Here is a 19,308-nt window from a genome sequence, read left to right on the forward strand (position 1 = left end):
AAGCAGTTACCAAGCCTATCAGAAAGATTCTTCTCTAATTTCTCCCACGACGATGTCTGGGATCCCAGGGTTGCTTGCAAATTTTCTATTTGTCGAAGCAATGGTCTTGTTGTTGATGAAACACTTTGACTCAGTTCCTGGTTTCGATTCTCTGCTTCCTGGAGTCTCTGAATCATGAAATTCTGAAGTCATTACCAATGACAGCAATAAAAACATTAAAAACACTAGCAAACCTGAACTTTGAGAGGTTCCTGGAAAATTATTTTTCCAAGAGAAAATAATTTGCTTTTTAATTATTATTATTAATTTTAGAAACGGGGTCCCGCTCTGTCACCCAGGCTGGAGTGCAGTGGCACAATCGTGGCTCACTGTAGCCTCAACCTCCTAGGCTCAAGCGATCCTCCCAGCTGGGACTACAGGTACACGCCACCACACCTGGCTAATTTTTGTATTTTTTTGTAGAGACGAGGTTTCATCATGTTGCTCAGGCTGGCCTCGAACTCCTGAGCAGGCAATCTGACTGCCTCAGCCTCCCAAAGCATTGGGATTATAGGCATGAACCACCATGCCCAGCCCTTAATTATTTTTCTAACTGTTCAATCCTTCCAAGAGAGTTAGATTGTGTAATACAGTATCTAAATAAGTACTTCTTTGGCCAGGCACGGTGGCTCATGTGTGTAATCCCAGCACTTTGGGAGGCTGAGGTGGGTGGATCACCTGAAGTCAGGAGTTCAAGACCAGCCTGGCCAACATGGTGAAACCTCATCTCTACTAAAAATACAAAAATTAGCTGGGCATGGTGGTGCACGCCTGTAATCCCAGCTACTTGGGAGGCTGAGGCAGGAGAATCGCTTGAACCCAGGAGGCAGAGGGTGCAGTGAGCCAAGATTGTGCCACTGCACTCCTGCCTGGGCAACAGAGCAAGACTCTGTCTCAAAATAAAGAAATTAAATAAATAAATAAATAAGTGCTTCTTTAAAAAGCGTTTCTAAGATAGTCTTCAATTACCTGAAGGTTAAAAAAGAGTTCATCCAAACCTCTTAGTAGTTACCTCCTCATCCAAATATTTCTAAGTATTTATAAAAACTGAAAAATCAACCTAAATTGTATTTTCTCTCCCTTTTCCTCTGCATGTTATAAATGACTGAAAATTAACAGAGGCATAGAAACCGGGAACTATTACCTGTCCCACAGTAATCAAAGACTGACAATCATTAATAAGCGATTACAAATGGAAAAGCAATACTGAATACATATAACAAATCTATCATAACATTATTTTCTATAAAACAAAATAAGGAATTTCCTTGTATAATTTTTAAGGTGCCCACTCTGATTTATTCACACAAGCCACAAAAATTCAGCAAATGCTAGGTGTGACAGTAATCCTCTCAATTCCATGAACACTATCCCACTGAGGAATTCTTTTATTTCTAGAAAAACACATACTTCTTGGATTTGTGTTTTGGAAACCTGTGACAGTACCTGCTGAAGTTCACCGATCTCATGGCGTAAATAATCCTCCTTTCTGGCAGCCGCTTGTTCTGTACGCTGCAATGCAAGCCTAAGGTCCCCCACCTGTAGGAGGAGAAACAATACATTCACAAACAATGGTACAGTATTATCTATAACTTCCCACTAACTACATATTTTGTGTTGTGTCAACATTGTTCATGTATACTATTTCATACTCTCCAATGAACTTTTACATATGATTATCACATCTCTCATTCATCAAGCAATTCTAAAACTGTATGTATATTCAATGTTTACTTAGAAAAGCATTCTGTTAAGGCAAAGAAACGCAAACAAATATGTATAAGGCATAGCCATTACCATACAATATTGGAGAAAAGACAGTGCGTCTATAAATATTTGCCACATCACACAGAAAGTGATAGGTGCTATACGGATTATAAAAGCTGGGGGCTCCACTCATATGCAGGAGCATACATTATAAACTACCATAGCCTTTTTGGAAAACGTTATAATATGTTTAAAGAATCATCAAACTTCTCACATCCTTTCACCGGGCCATCCTAGTCTTGGGAATTCACTCTAAGAAAGCAGATACGTAAATACACAGGGATATTCCCTACAGTATTAAATAGGCTAGCAAAAACAAAACTGGAAATATTCTAAATCTCCATCACTAGTAATCTATAGTTGCAAATGTCGATACAACATGAATATAACCATTAAAAATTACAATAAATGTATAAAACATGTAAAAAAAATTTCTAATATACTATTAAATGGAAAAACTATAAAATAACACGTAAGACATCAATTATGAAAAACACATATATGGGAATAGAATGAAACACTAACACACAAAACTGACAGTACTTGGAAAAAGTGATGGATTTATGCATGGTAACTCATATATGCTCTATCTCCCATTCCCCCAATTTTTCTGTATTATTATTATTCTAACGTATTTTAAATTTAAATTACTGATATTTTATCTATCCCAGCAGAAACACAAAGGATATATGGACCATGGCATGACTTATAATAGCAAAATACTGAAAATAACCCAAATATCCATCAATAAGAAATAGCTGAAAATACTTCACCTAATAAAGTATTATAAAACTGTAAAGAGATATTTTTTAAAAACCTCTATGTTTTACTAGAGTGATCATCAGGATATTTTACTAAGTAAATAAAACAAGTTATAAAACAGTATAAACAATAAACTATCATTTACGTAAAAAGGATGTAGGAGATAGAAATAGGTGTATAATCTATCAATAAGAAAGAGCTGAAAATCCTTCACCTAATGAAGTATTATAAAACTGTAAAAAGATATTTTTTAAAAACCTCTATGTTTTACTAGAGTGATCATCAGGATATTTTACTAAGAAAATAAAACAAGTTATAAAACAGTGTGAATAATAAACTGTCATTTATGTAAAAAGGATGTAGGAGACAGAAATAGGTGTATAAGCGAATGTGTATGTACGCAGAACATGTAAGTATATAGATACATATATTTTCTTGCATTTTGCCAATAGAAACACTGAAAAGATAAGCCAAACTCTAATAAAATGGTTACCTACAGGCAAAGAGAGGAAATGGGGAGCAGCTAAATTGGAAGTAAATGTCTGAATAGATTTTGCTCTCACTTTGGAATCATGTAAATGTTTTACACATACAAAACTTAAAATTAAATCAAAAGGGCATAGGAGTCAATAAAAATAGTTTTCTCAACAACTGGTCCTGCAACAACTGGATATCCACATGCAAAAGACCTAAATGTGAGAGCTAAGACTACAAAACTCTTAGAAGAAAACTGATGAAGATCTGCATAAACTTGGATTAAGCAATGGTTTCTTAAATATGATGCCAAAAGCACAAATAACAAAAGAAAACATAGATAAGCTAGACTTTGTTAAAATTAAAACCTTTTGGCATCAAAGGACACTATCAAGAAAAAGAAAGACAACCCACAGAGAGGCACAAAATATTGACAAATCCTATATCTGATAAAGGTCTAGTATGCAGATTATACAAAGAACTCATAATAACAATAAAAAGACAAACCGCCCAATTTAAAAATGTGCAAAGGATTTGAATATTTTAATTAATTTCTCCCAAGAAGATACATAAATGGCCAATAAGCAAATGAAAAGACATCCAACATCATTAGTCATTAAGAGAATGCAAATCAGCCGGGCGTAGTGGCTCACGCCTGTAATCCCCGCACTTTGGGAGGCCAAGGCAGGCGGATCACGAGGTCAGGAGATTGAGACCATCCTGGCTAACACGCTGAAACCCCATGTCTACTAAAAATACAAAAAAAAATTAGCAGGGTGGCCGGGCATGGTGGCTCATGCCTGTAATCCAAGCACTTTGGGAGGCGGAGGCGGGTGGATCACCAGAGGTCAGGAGTTCAACACCAGCCTGGCCAACATGGTGAAGCCTCGTCTCTACTAAAAAAAAACAAAAATTAGCCGGGCATGGTGGTGGGCACCTGTAATCCCAGCTACTCGGGAGGCTGAAGCAGGAGAATCACTTGCACCTGGGAGGTGGAGGTTGCAATGAGCCGAGATTGCGCTATTGCACTCCAGCCTGGGCAACAAGAGCGAAACTCTGTCTCACAAAAAAAGAAAATTAGCCAGGCATGGTAGCACCTGCCTGTAGTCCCAGCTACTCAGGAGGCTGAGGCAGAAGAATTGCTTGAATCCGGGAGGCAGAGGTTGCAGTGAGCTGAGATCGTGCCACTGTGCTCCAGTCTGGCAAGAGTGAGACTCTGTCTCAAAAAATATATATAAATTGAAAAAAAAAAATGCAAATCAACACCATACTCAGTTACCACTTCACACACACTAAAAAGGCTATACTTTTAAAAACAGACAATAATAAATCTTGGCAAGGATGTGGAGAAACTGAAACCCTCACCTATTGCTGGTGGGAATGTAAAGTAATGCAGCCACTGTGGAAAAGTTTGCCAGTTCCTCAAAAAGTTAAATATATAGAGTTACCATATGACCTAAGGATATATATCTAGGAGAATTTAAAATATATGTTCACACAAAAATTTGTGCATGGATATTTAAAGCAGCATTATTGATAATAACCACAAAGTATAAATAACCCATATGCCCATCAACTGATGATTTGATAAGACAAAGCCTCACAAATTTTGTTTTTCCTACTTCATCTGAGGTCCTTGGACTCCCACAGATGTTATGAATGAGCTCAGGAGTTAAATGGATTCTCTCAAAATTATATGCAATATGTATGTGCATTTTTGCTCTTCTCTTCTAAGAGGGTTCCTAGCTTTTATAATACTCTCAAATGGGTCTAAAACTCAAAAAAATTAAACAATACTGGTATCACGTAAGCATTACTTTAACAGTTTTAAAAAACACAACTGGTTAAATTTAGCAGAATCCAGTACTCTGAAATCTAACACATGTATCACTACATTGTTTGATTCAAACCAGCTAATTGTTTAATTTGTAGAAGCATAAACAAATATTTTTAAAACTACTCTAATTCATCATCCATTGCTTACTTGAATGGCTAATGTTTCTTGCTGCTGACGGGCTTCTTCTTGGGCCTTCTCTAATGCTGCAGAAAGTTCTTCTTTAGCTTTCATTTCACGGCTCAGAGCAGCTTCCTGTGCCTCACTATCCTTTGCAGCATTGGCTTTGTGAAGATCAGTAAGTTCTCTTAAAAAATTAGATTGAGTTTATAAATGTTGCCAGTGATCAGATAATAGAAAAAGTATTTCTTCAACATCCTACTCTGATAATTCATTCTAAATGGGTTGCATATTTGTTCATTTTCTTACTTGTATGCACTATCCAGGGCAGCCTGAATACTTCGGTTCTTTTCTTCAAGTTCATCCATGTCTACCTGAAGACGGCCAAGATCTTTCTCTTGGCGTTCTACCATGGAATTTAGTTTTTTAATATTTTCTCTATGTTGTTTCTCAACCTCTTCTTTGCCATCAAGGACCTATATGTTATAAAAACAGACAAAAGTATTTTTCAAGAAATAATACCATGGTAAATAACTGTATTCCAGGAATCTATAATAATGGAGAAAAATATATATTTTTTTGAGACAAAGTCTCGCTCTATTGCCCAGGGTGGAATGTTCTGGCTCACTGCAACCTCTGCCTCCCAGCTTCAGGCAATTTTCGTGCCTTAGCCTCCCAAGTAGCTGGGACTACAGATGTGCACCACCACGCCCGGCTAATTTTTGTATTAGGTTGGTGCAGTATTTTTAGCAGAGACAGGGTTTCGCCTTGTTGACCGGGCTGATCTCAAACTCCTGGCCTCAAGTGATCTGCCTGTCGCAGCCTCCGAAAGTGTTGGGATTACAGGCGTGAGCCACCCCACTCGGCTAAAAAATCTTATCATTTATCTATTGTTTGAAAAATCCTTCTTACATGATATACCCCATTAAATCTTTTCAAATGCTCCATAACCATGGCCAACTGTTCATACAGGAAGTAATAACAATATATATGTAGAGAATTATGATTGCTATTCACCTGTTTCAAATGCTGCAACTCCTCTTCTAGCTCTTTAACTTTTTTGTTCAGCTTTGCAACCATATTTTCATTCTCCTTGTCTTTAGCTCTTAATTTCTTGATGATGTTAGAATTGTGCAGCTGCTGTTTTGAAAGTTTTTCTCCTGGTGATGGTAAAGAAGTATAAACTCAAATGATAACTATTCCCTAAAAATCTCAATAGAATGTTTTATCTAATAGTAACATAAAAGAACAGAATTTTTTTAAATTACAATTTTGTAACCCACAATGTTACAACTAATTTGGACAGCAATCATCAATGAATGTTAAAATTATTGGGTAAAAGGTTGTTGGGAACTGGATATTGACACGGTCTTAAAGAATCACTCTCATATATCACCTACTAATTTTAAAGAGAAAAATCTGGCAGTCAACTCCTTAACTAAGCATTCAGTTTTGGCATCACCAATTGTAGTACAGCCTGACAATATGTGTCTGCTGATGTGATATAGTTGTTCAATATCACCCAGATATTTCCTACTAGAAATATGAACTAAATCTAATTTAAATCTCATCATGAAGAAAGTAACAAATTCCCGAACATGGGTGGGACATCCTGTGGGACAACTGCCCTAGACTCTACAGAGTCCTCAAAGACATAAAGAAGAGAGAACTGTCCTAGACTGATGGAAGACTAAAAGGACATAACAATCAAATGCAATGGGCAAACTTTGGATCCTGGGGCAGAACAAATGATCAATTATAACAGACACTTTTAGAGACAACTAGGATTAATATTAAAATATATGCTGGATTACACTTCTGAATTAATGCTGATTTCTTAGGTTTGACTATGATGTACCTGTCAAGGAAAACGTACTTGCCCTTGGGAGATGTAGACTGAAGAATTTAGGAGCAGAATGTTACGGTATTTGTAACCTCCTTTCAAATGAGTTGACAAAAGGGTAGTGTATGTATGTGCAGAAAGATATGGAAGAGTTGTGGCAAGATGTTAACACCTGATGAATCTAGGTGATGAAGTAATCAGGTATTCATTGTAGTGTGCTTTCAGCTTTGAGTTTTACAGCTCTTTAGCTTTAAGTTTTAAAAATACTGGCCGGGTGCAGTGGCTCACGCCTGTAATCCCAGCACTTTTGGGAAGCAGGCGGATCACCAGAGGTCAGGAGTTCAAGACCAGCCTGGCCAACATGGTGAAACCCCATCTCTACTAAAAATACAAAAACTAGCTAGGCGTGGTGGCAGGTAGCTATAGTCTCAGCTATTCGGGAGGCTGAGGCAGGAGAATTGCTTGAACCTGGGAGGCGGAGGTTGCAGTGAGCCGGGATCATGCCACTGTACTCCAGCCTGGACAACACAGTGAGACTCTGTTTCAAAAAAAAAAAAAAAATTTTTCTGGGGCACGCGGAAACAATATATAATACCCTTTTGTGAAATGTAAATACTCTGTGAATATAAAATACTCCCATGTGAAATTGCTCTATTTTCTCTGTAAAAAGGTTCATTAAGCAAAAGAAGACATCAGTTCATTCTCTGACAAAATTATTAAATTACAAAATAATAACATTCGATATTAATATTTCAAATAACTCTTTTAAAATAAGAAAACCATGCAGTTAGCCTTCCCCTCAGTCTCTGATATTGTAAGGCAAGGCAGTTAATGACTTCAAGACATCTTGAGAAAATAATTATAACAACAGTTCCTTCATTTTTCTATTTTAGTGCTTAGAATTGTGTTTTATCATTATCTGTGTTCCTATATTTCCCTCTCACTGAACTAAGCCCCTAAAGGACAGAGTGTCATACTTATTATTGTATCAAACATAGTATCTGACATACTAACCGTTCAATAAATATTAGTTGAATAAATGAAAAAGTTGGATAAAGCTAACTTTCAAATGAAATGACTGCTTCCAACTGTTCTCAAACGCTACCCTTTCTCTGGAAATTTACTTAAGTTCAGTGATTTAAGCACAAAAACATTCATCCTACCACTAACTATATTATTAACATTATAAAAATAAATGTACAACACTAGAAATAGTAAAACATATTATGGTATACCCATATAATGGACTTTAATACAGCCACTAATAATGATAAAAAGCATTTAATGGCATAGAGAGATGTAAGAGAAGGAAGATTGGAAATTAAATATATGATCTTAAATATGTTTAAAAATGCATTAAAAAATACATTAAAACTAGAAAAAATTAATAGTTCCTTATAATATTGGATTATAATCTACTTTTCCTCTTTATTCATATACTTTCCTATAACTTCAAAACTTTCTACAAGTAGCAAGTATTACTCTTATAACTACAAAAACTTTAATTAACAAGAGAAATAAAAAGAGAGATTCACTTGACCACGTTTTCCAAAGGCTCCTCTCTCCCAGGATATTACATGAAGAAATTAATTCAGTATCCATTTGTAATGATTTATTTCATGAATAGATCTTTAATTTCTGTAATGCTATTAATTTTATTTTATTTATTTATTTTTTTGAGACAAAGTCTCACTCTGTCGCCCAGGCTGCAGTACAGTGGCGTGATCTTGGCTCACTGCAACCTCCACCTCCCAGGCTCAAGCAATCCTCCTGCCTCAGCCTCCTGAGTAGCTGGGATTAGAGGCACGCACCACCACCACCCGGCTAATTTTTGTATTTTTAGTAGAGACGGGGTTTCACCATGTTGGCCAGGCTTGTCTCGAACTCCTGACCTTAAATGATCCACCCACCTCTGCCTCCCCAAGTGCTGAGATTACAGTCATAAGCCACCACACTCAGCCAACCCTGTTTATTTTAAATCTTTTCAGAGACAAAAGTGCTTAATAATTTAAAAATTAATACAATGAAAAATTCACTATCAAATGTCAGAAAAAGACAATATCATACAGTACTTAAGCTAGGTATTCAGATATTACATAAATCCCAGAGTTACACACTTTGAATGTCTTGGTTTAAATGACAGGCTCTTAAGACCTGTTTAAAGTTTTCTTAGGGCAGCACAAATTTCTGTCTATTTTACAGGGACTTACTTTTCTTTTTACTTCCAAAAAACAAAAGCTAGAAACACGTATCTCTGTCTCAATATATCTTATTCCTCATTCTTCCATAAACTGTCACCTATTTCTATGGTTTACGTCCAAACCCTCCTTGCTTTCAGTATTTTTAATTAGGAAGCATCAGCTAGTTATGTGGCAAGTACTTTTCCTGTTCTTACAGTATTTTTCATAGTCAACCAAATACTATACGCACCTTCTTCCATTAACCCTCGGATCTGCTCATCTTTCTCTTTCAAAAGGTCTGCAGTTTCACTACTATTTAATCTAGTGGCAAGTTCTTCTTTTATGTTTTTGATTTCCTAATAAAAAAGAAATCTGTGAATACCGTAAAGAATGACTTTCACTCTAAGTACAGTTCTCATTTCTCCCCCATCCAAAGAAGCTGTCCATAATCACATTTGCAATAAGAATCTGTAAGTTTTGTTCAGTTAATCTACTACCTTGGTTAACTAAGACTAAGAAAACAACTTTGAAAATGATATTCAAAACCTAAATTCAGATATACAAGCAAGTGTTAATATGAAAATATAAATGAGAATAAATTAACTTTCCTTTTCATTTTTATTTTTATTTTTTGAGACAGGGTCTTACTCTGTCACCCAGGCTGGAGTAGTGGTACAATGACGACTCACCACAGCCTCAACCTCCCAGGCTCAGGTGATCCTCCCACCTCAGCTTCCCGAGTAGTTGGGACCACACGCATGTACCACCATGGCCAGCTAATCTTTGTATTTTTTGTAGAGATGAGGTCTCGCCATGTTGCCCAGGCTGGTCTTGAACTCCTGGGCTCAAGCGATCCACCCTCTTCGGCCTCCTGAGTAGCTGTGACCACAGGCGCACACCAGCATGACCAGCTAACTTTATGTATTTTTTAGTAGAGGCAGGGTCTCACCATGTTACCCAGGCTGCTCTCTAACTCCTGGGCTCAAGTGATCCGCCCACTTCAGCCTCCCAGTGTGCTGGGATTATAGACATGAGCCACCACACGTGGCCAAAAATCTACAATTTAAATGTTAATAGATGATATCCTTTTCACCTTACTTCTCTTTTTTCCAATATCAAAATACGATGAATGCACTCCTCAAAAATCTATATCTCTATAGAGTTTAATTAATATTACTTTAAATTTCAATTACCTTTTTAGCAGCATCTCTCTCTTTGCAGGCTAGTTGAACTTTCTTTTCTGCTTCTGCAATTCTTTGAGTAAACTCATCTTTCAAGGAAGAAATGCTACTGCTTTCTTCTTTCACTCTGAACATTTCACTAAATTTAAAATAATATTTGAGAATGAGGATGGTGTCTATATATCCCAAAGGTATACATGAGTTCAATTCTCAAAAGGAAGATAACTTTTCTCTGACATATACCTTATTAAAATAGAACAGTTTTAGGCCTATTAACTTTTAAGAAAAAAAAAGGAAATTTCCCTTGTTAAATTTATTTTAAAACACCTCAAAGAAAATCTGTTAGAAAGAGAAAATGTCACCAATATCTGACATGTAAAAATAAGAGAAGAGTAAATACAATGTTTCAATTCTGAATCTTCTTGTATCACATTTTCCCAATCAGCTCCTTATAGCACAACTGTGTTATTGATTAACACAGTTTTCTTCAAATACGTTTTAAATCTCTAATACTAAAAGACTAAAAACGAAAGGAAAGAGTTTTCCAGTTTTGCAAAATGACTCTCTTCAATGGCAAAGGGTAAAGACAATCAAAAGAGAAAAGTAATCTTTAGGGTTATAATTGAAAGCTATACAACTTTCAATAATGATAAAATTACAAAACATTTTAATTTCAAAAACATTCTTAAATATGTACAAAGTATACAGGTTTCCAGAAAATGTGTAACATTATTCACATTTGCAGAATACTTACTCTTTCAGGTTATCAAAAGCTTCTTCTAGAAGTGCTTTTTCCTTACTAAGAGATAATAACTGAGCCTCCCTTTTTTCCAGCTTTTCATTCAGAAATTCAACTGTCTGGATAAGGCGAATACATAAAAGTCAGAACGCTTAGCTTTAAAAAAGACCATTTTTACATGCAGGTGTATCACTGTAACAAAGAAAACAGCTTTATCTCATAAAAACAATCAAGAACAGTATTAGGAACACAGAAGATCCAGAACAAGAAGAACTCTTAGGCAGCTGAGAGGAGAGTAAAAGTAAATACAACCAAATAGCTAGTGGGAGTGTAAGTTGAGAAACCCCTTGAGAAAACAATTAGGCAATATCTAGTTGGGGATCTACATACTCTTTGATATAGAAAATTTCACTTTTAGGTATACCTTAGAGGAGAAAATTCTTGCATAAATGCACTAGGCGACATGTATAAGAATACTTTATGTAGCTTCCTGGTAATAGCAAAAATCTGGAATAATCTGCATACACACCAAAAGAAGAAGGGAGATGGATGCAATCAAAAGAGGTCAAAGAGGAAATTTAAAGCCTCTATATTTTAGCTAGGTGGTGGATACACAAGTGTCTATTTTCTGTATTATTCTTTACCCGAAACACATACCCTTTTTAAAATATGACATATTGCATTTAAAAAATAAAAGTAGGCCAGGCGCAGTGGCTCATGCCTGTAATCCCAGCACTTTGGGAGGCTGAGGTGGGGGGATCACCTGAGGTCAGGAATTTGAGAGCAGCCTGGCCAACACGGTGAAAACCAGTCTCTACTGAAAATACAAAAATTAGCTGGGCATGGTGGCAGGCACCTGTAATCCCAGCTACTCAGGAGGCTGAGGCTGGAGAATCGCTTGAACCCAGGAGGTGGAGGTTGCAGTGAGCCAAGATTCTGCAATGATCTTGCACTCCAGCCTGGGTGACAAGAGTGAAACTCCATCTCAAAAAGTAAAAATAAATAAATAAATAAAAGTAGAGGCCGGGCATGGTGGCTCATGCCTGTAATCCCAGCACTTTGGTAGGCTGAGGAGGGCAGATCACTTGAGGTCAGGAGTTCAAGACCAGCCTGACCAACACGGTGAAACCCCATCTCTACAAAAAATACAAAAATTAGCCAGGCATGGTAGCATACGTCTGTAGTCCCAGCTACTTGGGAGGCTGAGGCAGAAGAATCACTTGAACCTGGGAGGCAGACTAGCCTGGGCAACAGGGCAAGACTCCGCCTCAAAAAATAAATAAATAAAATAAAATAAAAGTAGGGCTGGACACGGGTTCATGCTTATAATCCCAGCACTGTGGGAGGCCAAGATGGGAAGACCGCTTGAGCCCAGGAGTTCAAGACCAGCCTGGCAGCATAGTGAGACCTCATCTCTACTAAAAATCAAAAAAATAGCCAGGCGTGGTGCGAGCCTATGGTCCCAGCTACTAGAGCGGATTAGGTGGGAGGACTGCTTGAGCCCAGGAGGTCAAGGCTGCCGTGAGCCATGATCGCACCACTGCACACCAGCCTGAGCAACAAAGAGAGACCCTGTGAGCCGCGATCGCACCACTGCACGCTAGCCTGGACAATAGAGAGAGACCCTGTCTCATTCATACATACATCCATCCACACTAAAAGTAATTTTAGAAAACCCATAAGAATTTTTAAATCTCCATAATGTATCAGTATAAAGCTAAACAAAAAGTAATGCTTGGAATGTCTAATTCCTTAGGTCCTACTCAAATGGTGATAAACTTGAGTATAAAAGGAGTAGGAAGGGTTCCTTTTTGGACTCAAAAAAATAGTCTTACCTGAGTTTGGTTTAGATGAACTTAGAAATCACTTACCTTCTTAAATACACTGAAATTCAAAAATATCTGATAGTAATTAGTGCTGGTTTCTAAGAATTCAAACTCCTATTATATATCTTACAGTATATAGCTATTACTAATTGAAATATTATTGCACAGCATTTTGTTTGTGAATATTTAACCTGATTAACAGAATCTGGCACTTTTTTAAAAAATTAAGTAATTCAATACATGGCACTTACAGGACATTTCTTCAAGACATCCTACATCTCAGAAGTCTATTAAAGATACCAGATCCAACTAAATTTGTATATCTAAAAGTCACAGTAAAAACCAAAACTAGGACTTAATGTCAAAGAATTTATATCACTTTCCTTTCACATGTATTAGGTAGAAGCAATCTGTCCCTCCTAAGCAATGCTTTTGTTCCTTAGACATTTCTCTTTCTCGTTCATGTGAAATATAGCTATCAATAGGAGATCTCAAAAATAACATAAGCAGAAAACAAACTGAAGCAATATAAGGATATATACTCCTTATATATGAATGAAAATACTAATAACAGAAAAGCACCAATAATTAAAATCTTAAATTATCATTTAATATTTGCTACAAATAATGTAAACATGTAAAAACAAATTCTGATACAAGAAAAACCATAACATTTAGTTTTTTTGGCACATCTATCTGCAAAGGAGGTGAAGATACATGTTAATGTAAGAAAATATTCCTTTCAAATTGACATACTAATAAGCATAACAGAATTTTGAAGTGATAAGGACTCAAAAATAAAGATGTAAGATGAAAACTTTCATGCTTAACTGTATTGAAGTATCAACTTATTCTACCATAATTGCCTTGGAGAAATTCCAAATTATATTAATAATTGTTCAACTTCAAGGTACTTAATGCTACACAGAAATGGCAAAATGCGTATGTTTTTAAATCTGTATAAATTATTATGCATCAATGAAAGTATTTTTTAAAACAAATGATTTAATCTCCAAAAAGCACATCTAAAAATCCCTTCCACTTACTAGAGTTACCTTGCAAACATCTTCCTTCTCAGAAAGTGCTTCTGGCTGACTTTCAGCAGGTTCACACTGCTCAGCCACCTTGTCTAACACAGTCTGTCCTTCATTTATTGGTGTGGAAGAAACCAAGATATCAGGCTGTTCACAGTTAACAGGAGTTGCACTTCGTCCACTTTCTTCCATTTCTGCTTCCTCAGTGGGTATAACTAATGTTTCATTTACTTCTTCAGATTTTCCTTCAGCAGATTCAACTGTTTTAGACTTTGGAGTTGAAGAATTAACTATAATAGGCACTAAAGCATATCCCTTGCCTGACAATTCATCATCTGAATTGATTTCACTTACACTCCGGCTATCTAATGACTGTACACTAAATGAGTCTATTCTTTCAAAAGCATCAGATGAACAGCAACTCTCAGTGAGTTTTTGGAAATCATCTAAACGATTATATTCAGGACAAGCAGATGCAGAGAGAAGCTGAAAAGATGTCTGCATCAAGTGAAGACTTGATTTTGAATCTGTAGTCTCTTGTCTCGAGCTCGCTGAGCTCTCACTTATTACACTTTCATGATCTAAAACTTCAATATCACTGGTGGTAGAAGTACCTGATGAAAAGGTACTAACAGGAGGAGAAGGTGTATTGCTCTGCCTGTCTTCATGTTTTTGTTCCTTAGGTTCCAAAGCTATGTCCTTTGTTTCTGCTGTGAGAGACTGCGTAGACGTATTAGATATACTTTCCATAGTTGTTTTCACATCAATTACACTTTCAGATACTTTCAAACTTACAGTTGGCACCTTCATATCCGATTCTTTATTAACAGTTTCTTCGTGCTTGCCTTCAGTTTTAGGTGATGAAGTACCTGCTGCCAGAGTTTCCCCTGAAACACACAAAGAAGAGTCTTTTACTTGTGATTCAGTTGTTTCAGGAGTTCTTGACTGGCCAATGTGCAAGGATTCATGTAAGCTGCTTTTCACTTCTTCTTCTGGTCGTTGTGATTTTGCTGGAGGTTTTGATACCACTGGACTCTTCTGAATGGTCTGGACATCAGTTGGCGAGAGAAAGGCACTGAAGAAATTTTCAGATTCATCGACCACAGTCCTCCGAACTGGCTTTGTGATTGCTTTAGGAGAGGCTATTGGTGGACTCTGAGGTTCAGTGTTTGATTTCAACCCCCAGGTTGAAGTATCCCATCCTCCACTGACAGGGGAACTTATTCCTTTAACAAAAAAGTAAATATTAAAAAAGAACACATATATGTTACATTAATATTTCAATCATCATTATAAATCAGTATAAATATAAATTTAGAAAAAATACCCTATGAAATACCTGTAATTTGCACCTGCTAAACTCCTTGCTTACTACATCATTAAGTAGTTTCCAAGTTAATACAGGGACTTACGGAAGAAAACTGGTGTGGGTCCACCTGAGAGGAAGGAGGAGCACAGACAAAAGACTGGGCCTGGCCTGGACTACCAGATGCGAGTATGTTATTCCTCCCCACAACAAATTAAGGAAGTAACAGTATATGTTTTATAACCCACAGTAAGTCCAAGATACCTATGATTCATCTCATAATAACACGCTTTACTTATCAATATGAAATAAACTAATATGGAACTAACTGAATAGGTTGGGCCATGTGCAGTCACAGAAAAATGACCCTACCTATTCAGTCAGTTTCATATTAATTTTTACTTGTAATATCAGTAATATAGTTATGAGCTAGACAAAGGGCAACACTCAAAAACTGAACTCAGTGGGTATGGAGGTTCACACCTATAATCCCAACACTAGAAGAGTCATTTGAGTCCAGGAGTTCAAGACAAGCCTGGGCAACATAGTGAGACCCCTGTCCCTACAAAAAAATTTTTTTAATTAGCTGGGCCTGGTGGCCCACATATGTGGTCCCAGCTACTCAGGAGGCTGAGGTGGGAAGATCATCTGAGCCCAGGAGGTGGAAGCTGCAGTGAGCCATGATCAAACCACTGCACTTCAGCCTGGGTGACAGATCGAGAACCTGTCTCGAAAACAAACAAAACAACAAAAGCCTCAAACCAAGATAATGGTGACAAATGTTCTTTCCCGAAGATCATATTAAACTGATGGGAATGGTAAGTTCTAGAGAACAAATTCATTTTCATCCACTTAATCACAGGCTGATTCTCTAAATCCCACTCTCCAAGCCCACTCTAAGAGGAAGTTTTGTTCTCAAATTCTAAATTATGTCAGAAATTACAAGGTCATTATAAATTTCAGAAATGTGTGTTTTTTTAAGAACTATTGCTCTTTGACATAGAGGTGGTTGACACTAGGGTTTTTAAAAAAGCGCTACAAAGAAAATGACTGTTTTCTTGGGGAAAAAGTTAATTATCATATCAGTCATACAAATAGCTACTACTAAAATCCTGATTTTTAAAAATGGCATAATCAGGATCTTAAAAATGGTATATTCGTTAAAGTATTTAAAGCATTTCTTTAAAAATGTTTTCTTTTTCAAATTAAAATGTGGCTGAACAAAATATTCACAAAATATTCACAATTAGAAGTTGGTGGAGAGAGCACAAGTAACTAAAAGCTTCTAAAAACTATCAAGCCTTATAGTAGAATCTATCCTTTAATATGACTTCAGGCCAGGCGCAGTGGCTCACGCTTGTAATCTCAGCACTTTGGGAGGCCGAGGCGGGCGGACCACCTGAGGTCAGGAGTTCAAGACCAGCCTGGCCAACATGGTAAAACCCTGTCTCTACTAAAATTACAAAAATTAGGCAGGTGTGGTGACGCAAACCTGCAATCCCAGCTACTCGGGAGGTTGAGGCACGAGAATCACTTGAGCTCAGGAGACAGAATCTGCAGTGAACAGAGATGGCACCACTGCACTCCAGCCTGGATGACAGAGTGAGACTGTGTCTCAAAAAAAAAAAAAACAAAAAAACAAATATATATATATGTAAATATATGTATGACTTCAAAGGCAGTTAGGATGAAAAGTATGTAGAAAACTTCAGTTTGGAGGCATAGTTCTACACATTCATTTGCACAATATCCAAACCAGAGAAAATCAAAATTAAATATGCAAATGAACAACCAAGATTATGTCTGATTAATTTAAATACATTCAAAAGATGACAGGAATTAATTTTGCCTCTTGGAGAATACTTTATATAATCCCAGGGTTATTTGGTATCCATCTAAATTATACCATTCTGAAGACTATGGGCATTTTCCGAAAACAAATATCCTTATATGTAAAACCTATATTCTATCTTATCTAAAGTTTAGTAATTCTAATTAACTGGGGCACATATGAAAAAACAGAGTTACTCCAGCAAGGTTATATGACATCTTGTAAAAAGTAAAGAGGATCATCACATACACACATGGACCAAAATATCTTAAACTGAGGTACCTCAAATTTAGGTCCTGACTTTTCAATGATGTAAAATTAAGAACAGAAACCAGAAAGGAGTAGTCAAGTACATCTCTTATCCTTTTTCACACAAAGGTTCACATCCCCCAACACCAGCAAATCTTTACCCCACACATCAAATGCTGAACTGTTCCTTAGACTTAAGAGTCAAAAGCAACTGAATGAAGATCCCTGAAAGATTAAGCTCAATGAAACTGCAAAGAGAGACTTGGCTATTCAGAAATAAAATGTGATACCATCCAGAAATCTTGGGTCACACATTTTCCGGCTAATACCTCCGGCACATTCTAATCCTCCTCCGCCGTGTGACCTAGAGCAAGTTACTTGGCCATTCTGGGCCTCATTTTCCTCTTATGTAAAACACGGATATAAACCAAGCTCTCTCTGGGAGTTGTTCTGAAGATGAGAAGGCCATAAAAAAGCACATTACAGGCTCGTGCCTGTAATCCCAGCACTTTAGGAGGCCGAGGTGGGTGGATCGCCTTAAGTCAGGAGTTCCACCAGCCTGGCCAACATAGTGAAACCCCGTCCCTACTAAAAATACAAAAAGTTGCCGGGCGTGGTGGTGGGCGCCTGTAATCCCAGCTACTAGGGAGGCTGGGGAAGGAGAATCGCTAGAACCTGGGAGGCGGAGGTTGCAGTGAGCCGAGATCGCGCCACTGCACTCCAGCCTGGGCGACGGAGTGAGACTCCGTCTCAACAACAACATAAAACCACATTACGCGCTACCAAGCGCGAAATGTTCACTGACTGTTAGCGATTGTTCTTCCCTTCCCTGATGATTTACGTACTTCAGACCTTGGATCCCAACAGTGCCCGAGACGCGAAGCAATTCGAGGTTCAGGTTCGGGAAGGTTGTGCTTGGAAGCTGCGTCGAGGGAGAGCTTGAGGGCAAGACCAACCAACCAAGTCCCCTGTCATCCAAGTCCACAAGCCTCGCACCCAGGACCAAAGAAAGACAAGGGGGAACCTGGATCTGGGTTTTCCCTCAGGAAAACAGCAAAGACCGACTTGGAGGCTGAAGCAGCATTAGGGAACGGGCCGGGGAGAAATTACTTCCTGAAAACTCTCTCAGCAAGGAAGGACCCCTCTCTACACCACTTAACCTGCCTGCATCAAGAGAACAGCAGCCTCCGGGAGCCAGGAACCCCGCTCCTCTCTCTCTTACCCGGCTCTCCATACGGAATGGTCTCGGCCCAGATGCTCGGCTCCTCTTCCTGGATGTCCAGAACCCTGTCAATAGACTTCTGGGCCTGGGACAGGGCCTGCTTAGCGAAGCTGGAGAGCTGGGAGGCGTTGAACCAACTCATCGCCCCTCCTCAGCCGGCAGTGGCGGCGGCAGCACCAAGCGGGAAGGCCTCAGGCCTGGGGAAGGGTGCAGAGGAACGGCTTCGCTCCCCTTTTCCACTCGGCTGGTTCTGTCAGCGTGTGGCCATTACCCCGACAGCCTCCCGCGAGCCCGGGATGTTACCCTCGGCCGTTCCCGCACAGCTGAGACGAAGGGGGCCCATGTGCGCATGCGCTTGCTTCTTCCACGTACACAGCAACCAAATCTACGAGCCCAGAGTTCGGTCGACAGACGGAAGAACAGAAGAACGTTGACGTCACATCCGGGAGCGCAGGGTTGCCGTTAGTTACCGAGGAACGCGGAAGGGTTTCTATTGATGTCGATTTCGTGCTTACAGCAGTTCTTAGCGAAGGGGAAGCTATGGCTACCGATAGAGGTCGATTTCCCCGGAAGGAATATTCAAGTTTTCGTGTGTGTGCTTTCCAGGAAAATAGTTCACGTGCTAAAAGCTTGCACCTTGCCAGCAATAATTGCAAAGGGAAATTGGGCCTCACACTTCTCTTAGCCCTTTGTCTCAAATATTTAATAAGCTCTGTATTAACTTGGTATTGTAAGGAGAAACACTTGTTTGGGCTTGCCTAAAAGACAGGATCACGTATGAACACTGTGTCCAACTCGTGGAACACATGGTGCATAAAGCACAACCTCTCTCTCAAAATAGTAGTAAACTCATTGCTGCAGTCAAAATACCCCTAATACTGTGGTCTGTCGGTGTCCCCTG

At 38.3% G+C, this 19,308-nt stretch overlaps 1 protein-coding gene and 1 non-coding gene across 3 annotated transcripts in view, besides 1 other annotated feature; both read right to left on the reverse strand.

Moving 5' to 3' along the window:
• TMF1 (TATA element modulatory factor 1) overlaps positions 1-18,796 on the reverse strand; it is a 32,507-nt gene extending 13,711 nt beyond the window's left edge. The window contains exons 1-10 of one of the 2 annotated variants that reach the window (NM_007114.3): positions 18,408-18,796; positions 13,821-15,025; positions 10,955-11,058; positions 10,213-10,339; positions 9,270-9,375; positions 6,014-6,156; positions 5,306-5,472; positions 5,027-5,183; positions 1,486-1,578; positions 11-167 (exon numbers count right to left, since the gene is read on the reverse strand). In NM_007114.3, coding sequence (NP_009045.2) covers positions 11-167; positions 1,486-1,578; positions 5,027-5,183; positions 5,306-5,472; positions 6,014-6,156; positions 9,270-9,375; positions 10,213-10,339; positions 10,955-11,058; positions 13,821-15,025; positions 18,408-18,549 — 2,401 coding nt within the window. In that variant the 5' untranslated portion in view covers positions 18,550-18,796. Of the gene's footprint in view, positions 1-10; positions 168-1,485; positions 1,579-5,026; positions 5,184-5,305; positions 5,473-6,013; positions 6,157-9,269; positions 9,376-10,212; positions 10,340-10,954; positions 11,059-13,811; positions 15,026-18,407 lie in introns of both variants that reach the window. The other variant, NM_001363879.1, reaches the window with a different exon arrangement.
• On the reverse strand, positions 15,421-15,498 carry MIR3136 (microRNA 3136). Its single transcript, NR_036087.1, has one exon. It is a non-coding gene; the product is annotated as a microRNA 3136 (primary transcript).
• Positions 18,388-18,857: an enhancer, noted in NCBI's record as "active region_20050". NCBI's record gives its function as "activates an Ori minimal core promoter by ATAC-STARR-seq in GM12878 lymphoblastoid cells {active_cell/tissue: GM12878}" and the evidence as "EXISTENCE:reporter gene assay evidence [ECO:0000049][PMID:35858748]".

The sequence above is a fragment of the Homo sapiens genome, chromosome 3, assembly GCF_000001405.40.
Source record: "Homo sapiens chromosome 3, GRCh38.p14 Primary Assembly".
NCBI lineage: Eukaryota > Metazoa > Chordata > Mammalia > Primates > Hominidae > Homo > Homo sapiens.